We start from the raw sequence: 21,526 nt of genomic DNA, 5'->3' as shown, positions 1-21,526 counted from the left end.
TATATAGTTGACATATATTTGTTAATATATCTCATATATATTATTCAATATATACTTCATATTTGATATATATTTCTTAGAACTGTATGCCATGCATTAGAGAGAAACCAATGGAAGGGAGAAGGTAAAGAGGCATGTTTACTGTGCCCCTATTATGCGGGAGGCCCTCTGAACACTTTATATGTTATCTTGACACAGCTCTGTGGGTATAATGTTCATTATACAGAAGAGGAAACCAAAGCTCAGAGTGTTTAGTAACTTGTGCAAAGTTGCCAAATTGTTAAATGATGGATGCAGCTTTAAACTCAGGTGTATCTGGCTCTGAAGTCTATGATCTTCCCAACACACCACATAGGTCAATCTCACTTGTCTCTACACATCAAAACCTGTTTTCCCTTTTCCGAACCCCTGGCTACTGCCCAGCCAGCAGTGCAATAGGCCCATTTACAGTATACATACTTTCACATCAGGTTTTTCCCCCTAATTGGATATCCTTCTTCCTCCCCAACTATGCAAACATTACTGTCCCTTCAAAAGCCATTTTCTACATTAAGTCTCACTTCCCCACCAGCCCTTTCCTTTCTCAATGTGAATTGCACAATTTGGTTTCTGTGAACATAAGTTAGTTTGGAGTACGTCCTTTCTTGTACTGCTTTCTAACTGGAGTATTATTTCAATCTCAGTCACATTATAAATTCTTTTATTTTAGTTTTCCTTTAGTTTCCCAGTCCTCCTTCTTCACAGTGTTGACAAGTAATAAGTATAGCACAAAGGCTATCTTGCTATTGAGAATGCTATCATTTGACTATTTCATAATAAACTGAGAGGAAATGTCATGTACTGAAAGTTGCACTGGACTGGGAGTCAGAAGACCTCAGTTGACATTTTATGCCATAAACCATTAGTGCTATTTTGGGCAAGTAGTAGAACTTCCTTACACCTCACTCTCCTCACCTGTAAAAGAAAGGGCTCAGACTAGATGATACATAAACAGAATGCTTATCCTTATTTATTTTAAATTGCATTTCTGAAAAAAAGAAATTATAATTGTAGCCATGCACTTTTGTAGCCAGGTTTACCAAAGTTTCCCCCTTCAAAAACAATTCTCCCCTCTGTGTCTCCCACTTCATTGATAAGGTCTAGTAGATGTATTATATAAAACATAGACATTAACAGGAAGCTCTTTTCAAATTACAGCCAGTTTCCCAAACCAAACTGTCAACCTCCTACCCTCATATATTTAACACATGTGCTTCTGTAAAGGTGATTTATTAGTGAAAATCATAGTGTTCCCTATTATGAAACTCAGACTACCACCTGTGCATAACATTCCAGGAGTACAATAACATGTTTACATGTAAAACTCAGGCCAGTCACTTCCATCTCACCAACTATCCTGTCTTTCCTTTTCCTTCTTGTTTTGTTTGTTTTGAGATATGGTCTTGCTCCATCTGCAATGCAGTGGCACGATCATGGCTCACTGCAGACTCGACCTCCTGGGCTCAGATGATCCTCCCACCTCAGCCTCCCAGGTAGCTGGGACTACAGGCATTCAAGACCATGCCCAGCTAATTTCTCCGCCCCTTCCCCCCCACCCCAGGATGGAGTCTTGCCCTGTCTGCCCAGGCTGGAGTGCAGAGGTGTGATCTTGGCTCACTGCAACCTCCGCCTCCCGGGTTCAAGCAATTTTCCTGCCTCAGCCTCCCATGTAGGTGGGATTACAGCCGCCTGCCACCATATCCAGCTAATTTTTGTACTTTTAGTAGAGACAGGGTTTCACCATGTTAGCCAGACTGGTCTCGAACTCCTGACCTCGTGATCCTCCCACCTCGTCCCCCCAAAGTGCTGGGCCAGCTAATTTTTTATAGAGACAGGGTTTTACCATGTTGCCCAGGCTAGTCTTGAACTCCTGGGCTCAAGCGATCCACTCTCCTCGGCCTCCCAAAGTGCTGGGATTACAGGAGTGAGCTCTCATGCCCGGCAAAATTCAAATTTTTTAAGTGAAGGCTTTTATCAGGTTTATTATTAATCTAGGAAATACATATATTAATGGAAGGCTACATGTCACAATAAAAACTCAAAAAGCAGCATAACAATAACTGTGAGAAATATAACAATTACAATGGCATACAGCATTCGTTACAAACCATATTTTTCTTTCATACTGCTTTCCTTAATTCATTGCTTCATTTTCTCATCCGTTCATCCATTCAATACGAAGTTACTGAATATCTACTATGAATCAGCTACCAAGCCAGCTGCTTAGTTCCAATTTTGTCATATTAGATGAAGTGCAGTAAACTATTTTGTTTCTAAAACATACTACATAAAAGGTAAAAACAAACAAACAAACAAACAAAAAAACAAAAAGCAGCTCAAAGAAAACGTAAATATGGAGAGAAAGCAGAAAAACCTTATATTTAACTTGAGAAAAGTCCCCCAAAAGTCAAAGGGAAAAAAGAAGAAAACTACTAAGAGCAGAGAAGATGTGAACTTCATCTGCACATAAGAAAATAATGGTTGGTAATAATGATAAAGTTACAGCCTCAGAAATGACTGAAAAACATTCCATATCACCTTTACTCTTATACTCTTACTAGAAGGAAAGAACCATAACTGTTAAGTTAGTTATATCTTATTTTTTTTTAGGGGCAAAGAGTAAATTTTCCAATACAGTAACCATTTTCCCATTCAACTTTATGTTAAATATCAACCAAATCCAACCCACCAGATTTGTGTTTTTGCTGTGTTACATCTATGCCCCACCCAATATGGACATATCTTGGTACAAATGCACTTTCCAAATGATAATTACTTAATCATTAATAGGTACTCTACTGAGAAATAATTACCTTTCTTGATAGGCTCAATTAACCTAGTATTTTGTCTTCAGTGAGCCAAACAGTATTGGAGATCTTGGCAACACTAGGCTAAAACTGTATACGTTACATCGTGAAAATTAATGTCTCAAGTAAGCAAATGCTTTATTTCTTCTCTTTGCTGCAGCACTTTGTCTTCTAGTCTTTCACATTTTCAAATACTTTAGATAAAAATAAAGGAAAATGGAAACAAAGGCTCTAAAACCCAAAACAAGATTTCTCAGAAAATAAGTGCCCAGAACTGACTTAAATGATACACTGGGGCCTCAAACATGTCTAGAAAAAAAGAAGCAAAGGAGATCTTGGAGTCTCTTGTAAATGTGTAGATTTATTTTACTCAGATTACTTGAGAGGAGTTGTTGGTTTTAGCTTTCTGTATTTGAACTTAACAAAGCTAATGGCAACTCACTTTGAATGCCTCCTATATATCAAGCATTCTACAGGGCATTTCACATAATTTAGCTAACTTCCTCTTTACAGCCATCCTACAGTATGCATAATGTTATCGTTTCATTTTTTAGAAGAGGAGAAAGCTCAGAGAGGTTAAGTGATTTGCACCGGGTTGCCCAGCTACTACATGCTGGAACTACAACTGGGATTTGAGCAGTATGCTCAACTCCCAGACTTGTGCTTGCTCACGGTGCTCAGATCTCTTTTCCATGCCATACAACTGGCTAATTGCCTCACTTGGTAAGAGCATGATGCTGGAGAAACTGGGACTATATATATGTTAGATCTTGTTTAGGTTACTTTGCTTAATAACAAAGAAGAATTCTGCTCCAAATTGTGCTACCAATGTGTTCCTTTGGTCACCGAATGAACCAGTGGCTCAATACAAAATTTTATCACTGATGACCAAACACTTCAAGGTGAATTCAGGACAAATGGTGCCCTCTGTTCTCACACAGGAGGGATAAAAATATTGGTAAAAATAGTGTGCATTCCTATGAGGGTTGTTTGCTGGGACACAGTAATTTTTCATTATTTTTACATTTAGCTTGATGAGAAATATAATCATCAACTTGCTGGAATCCAAGCAGCAGCAAGCTAATAATCATATGACTGGGTCCCCTCCCTAGGACTCTGATTATGTGAAGTAAAGTTCTTTTTTGTGACTTCCACAAAGTAGATTTTTTAAAGGAGGCACCGTTCTATCAAATTATGTAAATAATTTAAAACTTCCTCTTATGCATCCCTCCCTGCTCTTTGTAAGTCACCCAACGATTTGCAAAAATAACCATGGGAAATGTTTTGGGTGGGCTTTTGAAGATATTTTTAGCTAAACTGGTGGAGGTTTAAAATACAAGCATGCGAGTGTCTGCCATTTAGAGAAATCACCTGCTCACACAGTTCCATGGAGAAGTGGAATGTTTTAATGTGTGTCATTCAGTACAACATGTGGACTGCATTAAGGCAGGTTATAGCAGGTCACGCCACGTGACACAGCTGAGCCACATATAATCGCAAGCAATACAACTTGCTCAATGCAACATAAATTTAAACAGGAGTAGGTTTTTTACCCTCAAAATGAGGCAACAGCTGCTGTAGATAACAAAATGCCCACACTACCCCACACTGAGAGGGGTTTGTGCTTTGACATGATCTGAATTATATGTAGGTAGTTCAGTACATCTATATTTAGGGGCATCTCTAAATATGAACAATGGGTGTTTTGGTGCATAGAATACATTCTCTAAGTGGCACAAACCTCATGTTTTTTTAATAGTGCATTTTGTAATTTTCTCACTAGTGAATAAGAAGCATTTTAAAATACAGCCTTAAAAATTAGACAGTAGAGACAATTTTTGGCTTAGAGAAACTGGCTTCTGAGCCAGTGGGCCAAATATTTAGTGTTCTTATTTAGACAAAAGATAAAATACTCTGCAAGTACAGCACTGAGAAGGCCCAGAAGAAAGAAAACACCATTGAATTATGATAAAACAAGAAATCAGAGAAAGTAGAGAAATGTGCTGCTAAAATCAACAATGGTTAATTTCCAAGACAAGTCAGTACATGTGGCATCACTGGCAAGCACAATAGTCCTGAAAACTTTAAGATGTTTGTTGGGTTGTTTGTTTGCTTATTCCTTCTTCCTTGAAATAGGGTGTCACATTGTAACTTGAATTATCTTGACTTTGGATCCACTTCTGACATTTAGATCTAGCTTCTCATTAAAGCCTCAGAAGTGTTCCATGAGTAGGCAAAGAACAAGTCTCTCTCAGATAACCCCACCCAGCTCTGGTCACTCCCACCATGACAGCACAAACCCGCCCAGGCAACGCTTACATATCCATCTCTGCATAGCTATAATTAACCACGCACTAGCTCATAAATCTGTTTGAAGTGTAAATGTCATATGATAAGAAGAACATGGAAATATTTTTACAATGTCTCTTTTGTATTCATCAATAAATATGAATCTGTTCCATCGAACTCAATTTTGGACAGTATAAAAACAAATGAAGTATCTCATTAAAGAGGAGAAACTTAAGCTTCAGAAGTCATTTTGGGGCTAGAGAAAGTGTAAGAAAGCTCAATTCTGTAAGGCACAAACGATGAGTGTGCCTTAGAAATGAATTACGTGTATTGACTGCTTACTATGTGTGAAGCACATTATCTGCCTGACCTAATGTGATCCATGAGAAAATTGTAACAAAAAGAGAAAAGCTTTCAGGGGTTAAGAAATTTGGCTGAATTTACATAGCCAGTGTGTGGGAGAACAAGAATTCAAAGCTAGATCTCACTGGTAACAGAGCCACATCTTTCAACCAAATACCTATCCTTTAAACTGGTTTCACCTAACCTCACCCACACTGAGTTCAGGCTAAACGTATTTTCCCTAGCACTCATATTTGGTCCACTGGTTCTTTTAAAGTCAACCTATGATATCTCCACAAATAAACTGAAAACTTCTTATGGACAAAGACTTTATAAATTATTTCTCTTTAATTTTTACATGACTACCTATGTGTTTGATACCAAGTAGATACACAATGTTTGCTGAATTTAAATGTGTTCTCATCCATGGCTACATAATTGTTAGCCCCATCTTCTCCACTCAGCTCTGACAATAACAGAAAGGCAGGTGGGGTTCCTGAAAACAGGACTAGACTTGCAAAAGACCTGAGTTTTGCATCCAGCTTTGCCTTACTTTGGTTGTGTGCTATTGTGAAATTCATTAGCTTATTCTTTCAATTTCCTTATCTATAAAATTGACATATATAAAATCTATTTCATAAAGATAAAATAGTGTCATATTTTCCTTCAGATCTTTTCATACTCTATAAAAAAGGCAGGAGAGTTTAACTGACAAAACTCCCAAGTATCTGCTATGGATATCAGTGAAATTTTCCTAGAGGTAGGTATCATTCAGTCATTCACAGGACATCTCTTTTGTGTAGGCATTCTTCTGGGGAATGACCAGACAGTGATGAGCAAAAACAGACTCAGTCTCCGCTCTTCCCAAGATTCATGATCTACTGGAAGGCCAGATGTTACAGCTGAAATCATTCGATTTTAACACTTTCATTTTTAAAATATACCTACAATTTCCATTTTTATTAGGGGAACTTTCAAGAGTCAATTTACTAACCATTAGATCTATGATCCTAGTAATTGAAATTTCTTACAAAGTAACAAAAGTTATACATGACACTAGAAGTATAGCTACCCACACATTTCTGAAATATTACTGGTTATGAGTAGAACACTCAGGAATTACAGGGACTGTCATAAAATCACATAGATTTTTTTCAATGTGAAAGTGTTGTGTTCAAAGTCTCCCAGTATAAGTGTAATACTGCAATTCAGGTCCTAATTCAATGAGATGAACTATCAGACCAATGTGGCAATATGGCTTTAGTCATCACCATTGTACTATCTGAGATAAGATGAAAACAAAAAGAAACATTCCAACACTCACATATTGATATTTGATATACTAAATCTTCTGGAGGACTAAATTCTCAACATAAAAAATTACATGACATTTTATGATCATTATTGGCAGAATGCATCACACAAAAGATGACAGTTATACCAACAGGTTTTTTAAACCTGGTGTCATCTTTGAAAATGTGTTTGTGTTAAAATACATTTCCAGTCTGTGGGATTACACTTTTATTTACTTTTATTTCTCAAGAAAAGATGTGACACGTTTAATGTTAATAATTCCATAACAACCAATTAACAGAAATGTGAAGAAGAGATTTTTCATAAGAAAGGAGTTATTTGCAATGGATTTCAACAAATTCCCCAGTTGGCTAAAGATATATCATGCTGGGCAATGGAGTAGGTAAAACATTTCCATGGCAAACTTTCAAGGATCCATCGTTTATGGCCGCACTCCCTGTCCTCTCTTGTCTTCTTTTAAAATGCCAGTCGTGTATGGATGAGGCACATGTTTCTTCTGCCAGTGCCTGCTCAAGCAGACAGTTTACTAATTTGTAGCTCAGTAAACCTTTCACTGCACTGAGCACCTTGAGGTTAGCAAATCTCTAATCATTATTTGATAACAGAAATCTGCAAGCATCACATCCCTGGTAACAAGAACATTGTATCTTAGCAACCAGCCGTGATATTCAAACAATTTCATTAAAGCGTAGCACCTCTTAGCAGGTGGGTGAGCGCGGGTGTTGATAAACATTTATAACATGATCAGCCATTGTGTTTGCCAACACTATAATCAGCATGACAAATTTATGAATTTGTTTACAAGCTCCTAGATAGCCAATCTATGTAGGTAAACTACATTTCAGACTGGTTAGGAGATCCAAATATCAGCTCCTTATTTTAAATGGAGAGTTTCTTTAGAAACCTATCAATTTAAAAGACTGCCAACCTGCTCTCAGTACAGAGACATCATATTTCCATTGTGGTCTAATGGTCTAATCTTCAAATAGTAGAGTTGAATTTAAATGCTTCAGGAGCAAAATCTGAGTGGGAACTTCAGCTACATTGAAATTCATAAGAATCACACTATAAGGTTGAATTTTTTTCTTCTTCAGATGGATAGAGCCAGATGATATGCCTTTCATGCCCACTGATCTATTGCATCAATGACTTAAAGGAAACAAATGTGATAAAACTCCCCTTTCTAAAAAGAAGAAAATTTTTCAGTAAATACTACAAATTTTAAAATGTAGTATAAATGTGTTTTATAGACATTCATTTTTAGGAATTATTGATCTGTCACCATTGTGAATTGGCCCAGACATGAACAGCCTTTTCTCATCTATTTGCTTCAATCTAATATTTACCTATAGTGTTTATAAATTTGTCTGGAATTTAACATTTCACCTTAGAGAGAATTTAATCTTCTTCCTAGTGAATGATCAGGAATATATATATAATTTTTAAACCCCCACCAACTCCATGTTCTTCAAAATTGAAAAGTCTTCCAATCTGGAAAGTACTAACAGGGCACATCTCTTTCTTAATTATATAACACAGCTTCTAATATGACTATAAGGTACCAAACCTGTGATTGTTCAAGTGTTACCAAGTATAAAAGTTCACTGAGGCATGCACTGGCAAATAGGTAGATGAAAAACAAGGACTTTTATACTTTCTGAAGTTTGAACCTTGAACTTACAGCACATGGTTACAACAGGGCCCCTGGGCTCCTCATCCCTGAACAAGCTATTAATCTACCTGAAATAGGTGAACTTCAGTGAAGCATTATCAAATAGGTAACAAGCTTCCTTTCAAATTAAAACCAGCCATGATGAAAAACAAGTTTGTTGACCTAGCTTGTTCACCATGAACCATGACACGTCAGTTAATAACTACCACCTGGGCAACTCCAAGCTTCAGCAACTAGCATTGCAATGTTAGAAAGATTCAGAGACAACAATATAGAGTACAGCCTGAAAGACCAACTGCTCTATATGCAAATAGTGTTGGGGGAAAAAAATCTTCAGGGAGAAAGTAAAACACTTCAAAAGTTGTAGTCAGAAAAAGGATCATGATCTGTGGGTACCCTCAAGCAAAGACAACAAAAATACTCTGCATTTGTGTGTATGATTCCAGGTGGGGTGAGGGACAGGATGAGGAGGTGTGAGGGGGAGACTGGGGCAGTATTTGCCATATACTACACATTAGGTTAACTGTTATAACAATTATTCTTCCTGGTTTCCTGAAGCTTCCCAATATCTATTTCTTGTATTTTGACATGTATAGAAACTCTTTTTGTCTGAAGGAGAAAATAATTCTGTTTCTGACATGGGGTGGGGAGAAGAGTGCAATGCCTGAAACAGGGACACAGTTGGAATTGGTATTTACATTTTTGGGAAAGTCTTTAAACCTCTGTATCTATGCAAGCACTATTAACTTATCAATTACTTATTAATATCAGCTCATTATTGTCTTAATCTAACTTTTAAAAAATTAGTCCCTTCTCATAAGAATTTTAAACTTTGTTTTCTACGGAAGTTTGGGGCAAGAACCAGTATGTTTGTGAATGTGTAAGACTGTGTGTGTGTGTGAGGGAGACAGAGAAAGAGAGAATGTTATTAGTTTATTTTTTACTTACTGAAGTGGGTAATTCTACATCCTATTTCTATGAGAGAGCTAACAAAATTCACTGCTTCAGTGTTTGATGGGCTACTTCCTAAACTGTTGAACTGTGGTCATTAAAATGCTGGATTTCTGAAAACATATAATAGACCATAACTAATGCAACTGTTGCAGAAGTAAGAAAGATTTCTTCTGTACTATTTTGCCTTCTGAGCTGCGCTTGTATATTATGGATTATCTTCCAGTTAAACAAAAACAATGTAAATAAATAAACACCTCTTTCCATAATAGCACCAGCTTATAAAGATTCTTTAGAGCAGCCTCCCCTTGCCTGAGCTCGACAGGTAAAGAAAGGCCTAGTGCACATCTCAGAGACCCACCGCAGAGAGGCAGCTACTGCTAGAGTCAGGCACTAGTGGCAAGACCAAACCTTGAGTTTTATGTAACCAATGCCAGGTGGTATAGACTCTATTTATAGAATTCATGGGACTTGACTACAAATAATTTTTTACTCAGGCTATTCATACCTGAAGTTTCTGCCAAAATATTCTGAAGAAAAAAAATAGTTTACATCACTGGTGATCTAAAACTTCAGCTATAGTCTGAGAAAGAAAACAGGTAAGAACTGTCACCAGCATAAACCAATGCTGTTGTGATTCTGCACAAGAAGCCACCTCTCCAACAAGCCCTTGGGTGGTTTGCTGTTAGAAAATTGTAAGGATTGAAAATTCCACAGAGTCTACAGGGCTTGGTATTTGCGTAGTACTTTTCATCCGAAGGTATCAAGGTGCAGGATAAATATTAACTCACAAATCCTGTCAGGTTTGCTGATGTGTGGGTTTGAAAACTCCAACTTTGAGTCAGAATTCCTCCCTAATTCCATTTTTCTCCATTCCCAGGATAAGAATAAGATTTACTTTTCCACAAAAGTTTGAATATAAATAAAAAACTGAAACGCTCGTGGAACTGAATCTTCTAAACGTCTTTCACTCATAATCCATTCTATTCTTTATATTGAAAAAAATTTAAATTAAAAACACATTAATGCTTGATTTATCTGGCAGCATCAAAAAAAGATCCATTTCTTTAAAAAATAAACCCTCTATCACATTTTAAAAACAATTTGTATAGAAGTGTTTTAAGACTATATAGTAAATGTCCTAGTTCCCAAAATAGGAATAAATCATGGACAAGTTTAGCCTGTCTTAATTATTCTAGAACACTATTATGGCCATTAATGATTGAACTGCATTGTAATATAGCCCCGATATATAGCCAGCCATTTGCCTCCAGAGCAAATACTTAAGATTACAATTTCTTTTTCCATTTTTGTGTCTTTTTGCAGGCTTTTCAAAAAATCTTCTCCCTTCCCAGAAGCTGCCATGTTACTCATAAAGCAAGCTATTCTAAAAGCAATCTTTATTCTCTTCCAACTTGTTGCTTCTACGATAATGTTAGCCAGGAAACCAGATACCCAAGCTAGAAAACTAAACTCTTAATGAGTGAAGGTCTATGGTTGCTGTCAATGAACGAGGTACGTAAGTCTATTACATGCACGAGACATATGCATTGTAGCTGCTTCCTTATTTACGACAATCTTCTGATTATATTTGATCCACATCCCGGGATAAGTGAGCTGTTAGCATAGTGAAAAATACACAGATGATAGGAAAATCCATATCTCCATCACGGTCATTTGAAATAATTAGCTGGTAGGGGGATTGGCCATAGAATAATATACTTAAGGCAAATTTAAGGATATGACACTCAGAAAAAAGGTAGTAGAGCTGATGGATTTTTTCTCTTTATCTTTGCAATGCTAGTTTGTTTGCTTGTTTGTTTTTCCAGAAGGGAATCATTCTGAAATCTTAATTTCCACATGGATTTTCTCTATAGTCACTGATCATTAGAGAGGCAGGATCAGACCAAAAAATGCTGTTGTTTCACAAGTTTTATTTGGTTTGCTTTTCCAAATTAAGTTGTCCCTATATTAGCAACCAGTACAGTCAAGCTGGGGCTACAGAGAATCAAGTGAAAGACAAAGTGCAATGCAAGAAAAGATGCTAAATCAGAGTGATAAGTTCCTACTGATATCTAAGGATATGTGCAACATAGTAAGAAAAACGGATGAAAATCTTGTAAAGGGAAAAGGCTTGTGCATAATATTCACAACCGAGTACCTGAAATAAACAGTACAGGCAACACTGGTTGGCAGGTCACAGCTTGTGCCAGGATGAATAACAGTGCAATCAATGTTCCAGCAGCTACCTATTGCTGATCAAGGAGAGCACCTGGATTTCACTAAATACCTTCCCTGCAGTAAAATCCTTAAGAGGTTTCTCAGAGAGGTACCAATTAGGCTTCATTGTGAACACTTTCTTTTAATAAAACCAGATATGTTTTTGAATTTGCCAAAACCGAATATGTTTTTTGAATTTACAAAACAAACTTTTACTCTCACAGAGCACCCATTTCTCCCAAGTACCTCAATGGTTCCCAAAGGATAATAAGAATCACCTGGAGGGTTGGAGGAGTTATGGGGTAGACTTTACATCATGGATTACACTTTACAGTTATTCCTATGCTGCATCACATAATCCTTAAGATTGCAAATGAGTTTACGGTCAAGAAACATATAAAATAATATTGTGCAACTTTTCGTACATAGGCCTCTAGACCATTAGTAAAAGACAACCATAACCCAATCATAACTAAAACCTTACAGACTTAATGACACTGTTGTAACTAAACCACCAGGTAAGTCACTACCTAAATGGTTGCCATTCATGGGTGAGGTCTCCTGGGTGCTTGTTAGAAATCCAGCATCTCGGAGCCCACCCCAGACCTACTGGCTTAATATCTGCATTTTAACAAGATCCCCAGATCAGTCTTATGAACATTAAAATTTGAGAAGCACTGAACTTAGAATAAAGGAAGGAAGGGAGGGAAGGAGAAGGGAAAAAAGAAAGAGAATATAGAGTGGTTTTCCCTGCACTCTTCTAAGAGCTTATATGCATTTATGCAATTAACCCCCACAATAAATTCAGCGAGGTAGGTATAAAGAACACAAGTGTAAACATATGAATTAAAACCTAGTTTCTCTAATACATGAAGATGTTTAAATGGTATTTATGAGTGGAAACTGTTTTCCTTTTTGACACTCCCTAGTAGGCCCTAGTGGTTCTTTAGGAAATCTCTGTGGGCAGCCATGGTAACTTTGGTCTGTAACCTCTTTTTATAACCTTCTATTCTTGGCAAAGAAGTAGTTGACACAGAAATCAAGCCAGATGTTCATCCTGGAATTATGGCACAGGGCGGGGGGTTGGGGAGAGGGTGAAGGAGTATCTCTGGGGGAGATTGGAGCTCTACCAAGAGCAGACAAATTTTCCGCCTCAGCTTTTCTTTCCTCCCAAAGTATGTCTTACCTTAAATTTGGGAACATCCTAAGGAAAAGCTAATATTATATATATTCTTTGCATTACTAAGAATATTGAATAACTAGAAGGGGAGATGTTTTGGTCTGTTATTCTTAGTAATGGTTCAAGATTAAAATAATTTTACTAATAAAATAAAAATAACCTTTGTGACTCCATCATGAGAGAGCAAGCAAGAGGGGGGACGAAAGAGAGTGGGAGGGAGAAAGGAAAATGGGGTGAGAGGGAGGCAGGAAAGAAGGAAAAAAAGAGAAAATTCCAAATCAGATGGACTTTAAAATCCTTACTTTGTAAAATTGTAAAAAGCCATCACCTTTTAGGAGTGAATGAAAGAAAAAAAATCTGCTTTGCTTATTGTTTCTATGTTCATCTGGAGCATAGAATATTGCATATCCTGTGATAGGACAGAATTCTAATGAAACTAAAATAGTCCCTTGGACACAGACCTCCCTTGTAGTTCATTTTCTTTTATTTGACATAAGTCATATGCTATGGAATGTATTCAGTTAAAACAATGACCAGTATCTGTTCTTTAATCCCACTGCATAATTACTAACAGAAAGTATATTTTGTTCCCTAGAATATAAATACTAAAAGTCCCTCCATTATTAGAACTGACACTATAGATATGATGTATTCTTTTTTTTTTTTTTTTACCATTTACCTCTATAACAGAGATTCATTTTAGAATGCCTGAGAGGATTGTCAGAGTACTCTGATAAATTACAAAAGGTACAAACACTCCACAATTTTCTCAATTATCCTCGTTACCATTTATAAACATTTTATCTATTGCTATAAAGCAACCATGAGGTATGTGTAGAAAGATTCAACAACAAATGGCTTACATTTTTATGTCTTATGGTAATCTTCACATTAAGAGAATATTCTGTGTATCATTATAATTCCTAAATTTGAAGCAGAAAACCTCCATTGTGATCTCCATTTTGTGCCCATTCTAAGTTTCACATTTAATTCTAAGCATCAACCATGATTACTGCTGACATCTTTATATCAATGAGTCTCTGAGATTGTATGCAAAGTCCTGAAAACTTCACCCAGGGTGTCATCAAATTAGGCAAGCCTGGTTTTCCTCTGTGTTTACCAGCTGACGCACAGTCTCTGAACTTACAAGTACATGGCTGGCTGGGCAGTCATGCCCAGTTTTCACAATTTATTATTCCTTTTAATGGCTCTCTTTTCATCCCAATGAAATACTCTGTCTCTTAATTTCACGTGAATATCCTTTACCTGGGAAAGTGGAAGAAAAACGATAACACTCGTTTCTAATTAATTTCTTACATTTCCCTCAGTGAAGTGTATCTAAAGAAGCAAAACTTACTGAATCAAGTTTAATGACATAATAAATTCTTCCTTTCCGACAATGCTATGGCTTAATTCACTAGTGCACTTTAAGCTTTTGCCTTTAGCGACTGATGGGTCATTAGTCTGTATGTAATCCAGCAATCGGACTCCTTGGAGTCTAAACTCAATCAGCAAGCACCAAATCAGTAGTTTCTGAAATATGACTGGTAGGTCAAGTGTCCCCAAAAAGAGTGCCTGGGGCATCCCAGATGGAGAATAGGGCATGACAAGCAACAAACTAGGACAGAATTTGATGCCAGCATTCACTAAAGACTTCATTCATTCTAACTCACTAAACAACTATTCTTCAAATGATTTGACCTCCACTTTTGATGTTTTCTAGCAATAGGTCATGCAATAAAATTGGTTGGTATGTGCCGATAGCTTTAACATACATGTCATCAAGTTGAACATATTCTAATCACATTTTTGCCCCAAGAACCTTTGCCTAATATCAGGAAAATGGGCCATGGAATCACTATCAGTCATCCTAGACCAAAACAGGCTAATTACTGCACATTAATCCCACATATGAAATGTGCTCTCTGCTGGGTCAAATTTGTCTTCTTTCTTTGACAGCATCTTCTATTGCTGAAAAATACAAATAGAGATACTAGTAATATTTTCCCTGGATTTCACATAAGATTTGGGAAAACCATTTCTACTCTACCTTCAATGGCTAAAATAGCCAACCTATCCAATCTACTTAGTTCTGCTATAGTGCTTCATTCATTCATTCATTTATTCATTCAGATGATTCTAGATACTGGAAATAGAGATAAAAGTTGCAGTCACTACCATCAGGATTAAACAACTAATTTTAGATAAGTGATATGATGGTGTACTTTAGCCTGCATCATCATCATCATTCTCATCATCTTATCTTTTAAAATAATTTAACATAAAACACACAAGACAACACTAGATATAATTCAGATCTGACATTATGCATAGAGAAATACAGAAAAAAAAATCCTCCCCCCAACTTCTAAAACAGGATTTTCAATGTTCTATAAAAAACACTTTGTCTCACTTCATCATGGTGTCATCTTCCTAGAGGAACTTGGTAGAAAGACTAGACCCAAGAGTTGAATTGAATCATTTTCTTTAGAAACTTAAGAGCCAGCATCTAAAATTGCCGGTTGGCCATGGTCCCTGTGAGCAGATGGAGGAGCAACAAGGGCCATGGTAGCAGGAACAGACACAGAGAATTTGGATTCTGAAAGGAAGGTGACCATGAGAGCATGAGAAGGGAGGAGAGAGAAAACAGGGAGCTTGAAAGAGAAGTGAGTAGAGTTAGAAGCAGGAGGACAGAGGAAGCAAGAAAGGAAGAGCAAAAGGAGAAGAGAAATTGAAGAGTGGGTGGGAGGAAGAACAAGTGAGAAGCGCATTAAACTACAGCACATATGCCTAAACCCATGAAATTAACATATTGAAAATAATCCAGTACTTCCTTATACAGAAAACAGTGGTTGGATCAAGTTGCAGGGCCCTGTAGATGAGGAAGCCAAGAGACACACTGCAATAGGCAGCCTCTAAAATGGCTCCCAGGACACCCTGGCTCCTGGTATGCATGTCCATGTGTAATACGCTCCCATTGAGTGTGGGCTGGACCTAGTGACTCACTTCTTACCAAGAGAATACAGCAAAATTGACGGGCTCTCACTTCCAAGATCAAGTAACAAAAACGCTTTGAATTCCACCTTACCTTTTCTTTCTTTCCTTCACCTGCTCACTCTGTAGAATGTCAGCTGCCATACTGTGAGCTGTCCTATGGAAAGAGTCACATGCCAGGGAACTGAGGAAGGCCTCTGGCCAGTAACCAGTGAGGAAATGGAGCCTGCAGTCCAAAAGCTCCCAAGGAATCAAATCCTTCTAACAACTGACTGACTGAGCTAGAAGCTAGTCTCTCCTCAGCTAAGGCTTTAAATGAGACCACAACCCTGGCCAACACCTTGATTGTAGCTGTGTGAGATTCCTTGAGATAGAGGCACTTAAACTACCTATTGATTCTGGACCCACAGAAATTATGAGATAATAAGTGCTCGTTGTCTTAAACTGCTAAGTTTTAAGATAATTTGTTATGCAACAATGGATAACTAATACACACATTTAATAGGAAAATGACAACTTTGACCAAGATTAAGTCTAGATCAGTAGGTATATCACAAGTGCAACCCTAATAGACTTAATAACAGAATTATGAAAACTCCATCTAAGATAAAGGTAAGAATTTGGTTTAAATTAATCAGCAAATCTTCCCTCATATTTCTCACAGAAACCTGGGTTTGAGCACCAACTACGGGCTAGGTACTTAATAACTGTGAGACATAATCAAGCCATTTAAGCTTTCTGGGACAAAATCTTGATATGTGGAAAATGCAGCTAATAAGTATCCCTGTTTGTCATTATTGTCATGAGATTGACTCAGGGTCATGAAATTGAAACTTACTTTGGAAACTATAAAACCAGTCATAATGTAAGTAATAAGGAGACTGCTGCAGTCCTACTCATGGATTTTCTCCAGGCTAATAACATTTTAAATATTTGCAACTCCTCAAAAAGTATTCCCTTTCTAATGAGGCAAAAGATAATATCTCTTTAGTTCTTAAGTTTTGCTATGAAATATCTTAAGTTTTTGTGCCATTTTTGCCAAATCTAGTGTTTTGGATCAATACCAATTCCATCTTTGGTCACTTCATGTATATTAAGATTTAGCCAAATAATTCCAAGGTTTTCTTTTTAATTTAAAAAAAATATATGTCTTGGGTGAGATTCCTTAGAAACAGGGCCCGAGGTAAAAATTTTGGTTCAAGTGATTTACTGAGGGAGTGTTCTAAGGAGAAGGGGAGGAGATGAGAGGGAAAGAATGTTGACCAAGTGTGGGCTCAGCTGGAGGCTAGCATCAGTTGATCCGGAAGTTCTGGAGCACAAATCACACCACAGCATTAGGTCTACCTTGAGGTAAAGAGGCTAGCATTTTGTCAGCTCCCCCCTACCTTGACCCCTATCCCTGTCAGTCATTGGCCACAGGACAAGTCTCCAGGGAAGAAGGCAGCTATGAGGTCACCAGCCACACTCAAAGCAGCTTGGGCAGGAGGCAGGGGGGAAGCAAGTACCAGCCACTGAAGCGTATCTAAGCAGGGTAACAATAGCATCTCCTACAGGGGATATATTTCTGGCCTTTTTTATGGTATTTTCTCATCATTTTTGCAAATAGGTCTTGTTATGCTAAATAGTTCTAGCATTTTATACCAGCTGTGTTAAATGAGACAGCAGAAAGAGCAACAGTGTGGAAAAAGAAAGATTTGTCTCTAATCAGAGTTGTGCAGCTTAATTCAGGTCAGACAACAAATGAAAGGGGGTCACTGGGAAACTTTTTCGCTCCTAAAATATAGCCATTAAGAAATATACACCGGAGGTACCTAGGTAAAGCTGAGGCACTCAGGGCGCCTGGGGAGCAGTGGTTTCCTCAGCAAGCCCAAGTGGGAGAAGGGTAGGGGGAGCAGCTTGGGCAGAAGAGAAGGTGAGTGTGACAGAGCTGTCAACTGAGGTCCCAGAGAAAGGCAAAGGTAAGAGAAGTCATGCCCATGCCCAAGAGAGAATGAGAAGGGAAGGAAGGGGAAGAAAAAGTGGTACTTATAACCCGAGAGGAAGGATGAATACAAGAATATACCCAAACAGTGTGCAATCATAGGCATGTCCTAACTCTATCTCCTGATAAAGAATGCCTCTGATTTTTCCCACCAAACTTTTCTCTGTTTCTCATATCCGACATGGCCCACTTTTTTCCTTATAAATTGTTTACATTTGAAAAAGCTCAATCATGAAACAGAAGATGGTAAAACTTCTGTTTATTTGATGGTTATTACTAACACTTCAGCTGGAGCTTCCTGAAACATTATTGCTCTTGGTTGCATTGAGGGAGGAGTTGGTATTTGTCAAAAATTATATTTGACTTTGGTTGCCCAGAAGAAATTCTGAAGCTTCCAAATGCACGGGAGGCTTTACAGAGGTGCTCAGTGAGGAAGCGGAATCTGGAGTTTATACCATACAGAACGCCCAGCCTTGCCTCCCCCAGCATGGATGGATGATCATTGCCAATCCTCATTTGTGTTTCTGACATTAATTAATTTTGGCTTTTTTAGCATATATGAAAAAAGATTGGAGATTCTCATGAATAAAACACTACAGTGGCAATACTATTTCAACCAGAATTCCGTCTCCTTCCATCATTCTCAAGCATAGATTACCACTTTTTAAAACTATTCCAACTAGGAAATATTTATGTTTGATAAAACTAAAATGTAAACATGGGTTTAAGGTGCTTGCCTAGCTTGCTTTCCTATAACAAAATATCTGCTGGTTTTCAAAGTTATATTGAAACAGTATGTTAAATTCAGTTCTGACAGCATATAAAGATACTGGCTTTCCTAGACACATAAGCAAAGTCTTTTTATGAGCTCATAAAGGCTAGACTTAAGGAATATTTAAGTAGTGGATAATTCATAGAACAATACGATATCTTTAGTCACTCAGCTAACATAGAGGGCAACCACAATTTATTCTTCTTAGAACTTCCTCTCATGTTTTATATTCTTAGGAGGTGAAAGGTATTTAGAAAAGACCTAAATACATTTTTTTATTATTATTGAACTATCAAAGATGTGCTCTCTTTGGGACTCCCTCCACTTCCTCATTCTGTGTATGTTAACCCACTTCAGAGACCATGGTGAAATGGACCCAAAACACCAACTTACTATTTGCATTATAAATGGAGACACAAAAGAATATTTTAAAACTTTTGGTTGATCTGGCATATCAAAGATTTCTTTCTCAGCTTACTTCAGTGAGTGCATTGAAGTAAACTGAAAGCAATAGCTTAAAAGTGGCTTTAAAAAGTCATAAAAAAAAAAAAACCGGCTATTTCCATGGAAATTTTCAGTTTACTCTCCGACCCCCCTCCCTTTCAGAATCGCTTCTTTCTTACCCTCCTCTTTATTTGCAGGACTCAACAAGGAGGAACTCTGGAGTTTTCTGAATTCAAGTATTAAGCTAGCTCTCACTGGAGTGCAATCCATTTTCCTTGCCTTGTCAAATTTGCACTCAAACTTCCAGCAAACTGCCTGACTCTCCTTTTCCCCCCCTCCCTGAGCTAATTACCAACACGCAGCTTGGACTCTAACCAAGCACTTCGCCATGTCGGCCATTTTCCTCTGCTTTATAAAGTTTGCAGGAAAATTACAAATCAATAGAGTGCTTACCTGAGAGTTCATAGAAGTGAGGCTGATGAAATTTAAACAAGTCGCCAGATCTCAACAATCGATACAGCTTTTCTTCCCCTTCGACCTTCATAGGTCTGCTGTTTTTATTTTCCGTTTTCAAGATGGAGGCCAGGGTCTTCCTAAGAATCATGGGAAACTTGAAATGGGCCACAGGTGAATGGCATTTCAAAGCTATTAAATAACCGCTGAACATGGGCTCCTGTGAATTGAGCCTGGGAACAGTCTCAGGTTGCCACGTTACTAGCAGTGCCGTGTAAGAACCAGGACACATTTTTAGCATTAGCTGGGGGGAGTTAAGAACTCTTCATGAAATCAGAGAATTAAAAAGTGTAGGCCAGACGCAGTGGCTCACGCCTGTAATCTCAACACTTTGAGAGGCCGAGGCCAGCAGATTACTTGAGGTCAAGAGTTTGAGACCAGCCTGGCCAACATGGTGAAAGCCTGTCTCTACTAAAAATACAAAAATTAGCTGGGCGTGGCGGCAGGTGCCTGTAATGCCAGCTGCTCAGGAGGCTGAGGCAGGAGAATTGCTTGAACTCAGCAGGCAGAGGTTACAGCGAGCCGAGATGGCACAACTGCACTCCAGTCTGGGTGCCAGAGGGAGACTCCATCTCAAAAAAAGTGTAAAATGTTCACAGAATATGAGCTTTTATTATGAGAACATGATGGGGAGGGCATTGTACTTTAGTCACTAAATTCTTAGAAGTAAAATACACACTACTACTACATTTGTCTAGGCAATAAGTTTTCTCTAATATGAAAAAGTTATGCCCATATTTGACTATTTATCATTTCAAAGTATCGTTTTCACCATGTCCTCTTTGGAGACGATATCCTATCTGCCTCTCATTTTACAGTGTTTGAATATTTAAGCTAATTTTATATAATATCTGACGTGTCTACCTACAAAAGTATCCTGAATTTTGCTTTTTTTCATATTTTATCATACTTTATACTGATCAAAAAATAGTTCATGTGGGAAAAGGTATCTGCCTCTCTGTTTACCCAAATAGATATTAATAGTGTTGATAGACTCTTACTACAGTCCTGTCATAATTTTTTTTTTTAAAACTTCTCATCTTTCTTTGAAATGGCAAAACTTCTTGAATATAAAGAGTTGAGGATGTAGAACTCTGGTTATAATTTCACAACCTATTTCAGTATTACTCTTTGGAAATACATACAATCTCAACACCAAACTTTGAAACACCATCCCTCCACACACCCCAACCTCCAAAAATAGAAAGAAAGAAAAGAAAAATAGTACAATCTCTTCACAGATTCAGTAAAATAATATTAGCATTAAATTTTGGATAACACTGATGAAGAGAGATGCTAACACTGACATTTAACAATATGGAGCTTATTAGACCAGAGGTACATTTCTCCCTCATTAAGTTAAGAAATATAGTATGTAATCATTTTAGTTTTACAACAAAATCCATTTCTTTAATGTGGTTAGATTTCTTGATTTGGGTTTGCAAAGTTACTATCTACTCCTGAACTGTAATGCAAAATTTGCTTTCTAGTTAAGCCTAGAATACTTAAAGTTATCTCTCAAATTGTTTTAGCATAATGTTTTAACAAATCTGACCCTTGGAAAGACATCCAAGTGTCACTAAATATCTCACCTAGCTAAATTGAGGCCATAATATGAATGTCAACTTTGAATTCTAAATGCGTTTATTCATTGTCTATCAATTTGCCAACCTTTCCAAAGTGTAAGTTTATAAAAATCATAGAAATTGATATTTTCTTGGGGCTGCCTAAAGCCTCAAATTATATTTGTCAATGACTCATTCTAGAGGAGAACTTTAGTAATGTTCTATTATTGCCTCATATTCCTGTGCCCGTGTTAGAAACACCTCAGTATCTTTGCCTTTCTGCCACCACCTCCTACCTACTTCCTCCCGAGTTATGAGACTCAAGGCCATGTTATAATGACCTCGGCTGTCATTTCACTAAGATTTTTCCAATATCACCACTAAGTCCTCCTAAAAACACACCTCCCTTAAATCGTCCATCTAAACTTCTCAGGGGAAGCCTG

At 37.5% G+C, this 21,526-nt stretch overlaps 1 long non-coding RNA gene across 1 annotated transcript in view; it reads right to left on the bottom strand.

Annotated features, from left to right (window-relative positions):
* The window catches only part of TEX41 (testis expressed 41), a 408,763-nt gene extending 389,163 nt beyond the window's left edge, over nucleotides 1-19,600 (bottom strand). Inside the window, exon 1 of the long non-coding RNA NR_033870.2 lies at nucleotides 19,459-19,600. This is a non-coding gene — a long non-coding RNA (testis expressed 41). The remainder of the gene's footprint in view (nucleotides 1-19,458) is intronic.
* Nucleotides 19,601-21,526: the final 1,926 nt, after the last annotated feature.

The sequence above is a fragment of the Homo sapiens genome, chromosome 2, assembly GCF_000001405.40.
Source record: "Homo sapiens chromosome 2, GRCh38.p14 Primary Assembly".
Lineage (NCBI taxonomy): Eukaryota > Metazoa > Chordata > Mammalia > Primates > Hominidae > Homo > Homo sapiens.
Note: the sequence above shows the minus strand (reverse complement) of the source record. Positions and strands in the feature narration are given on the sequence as shown.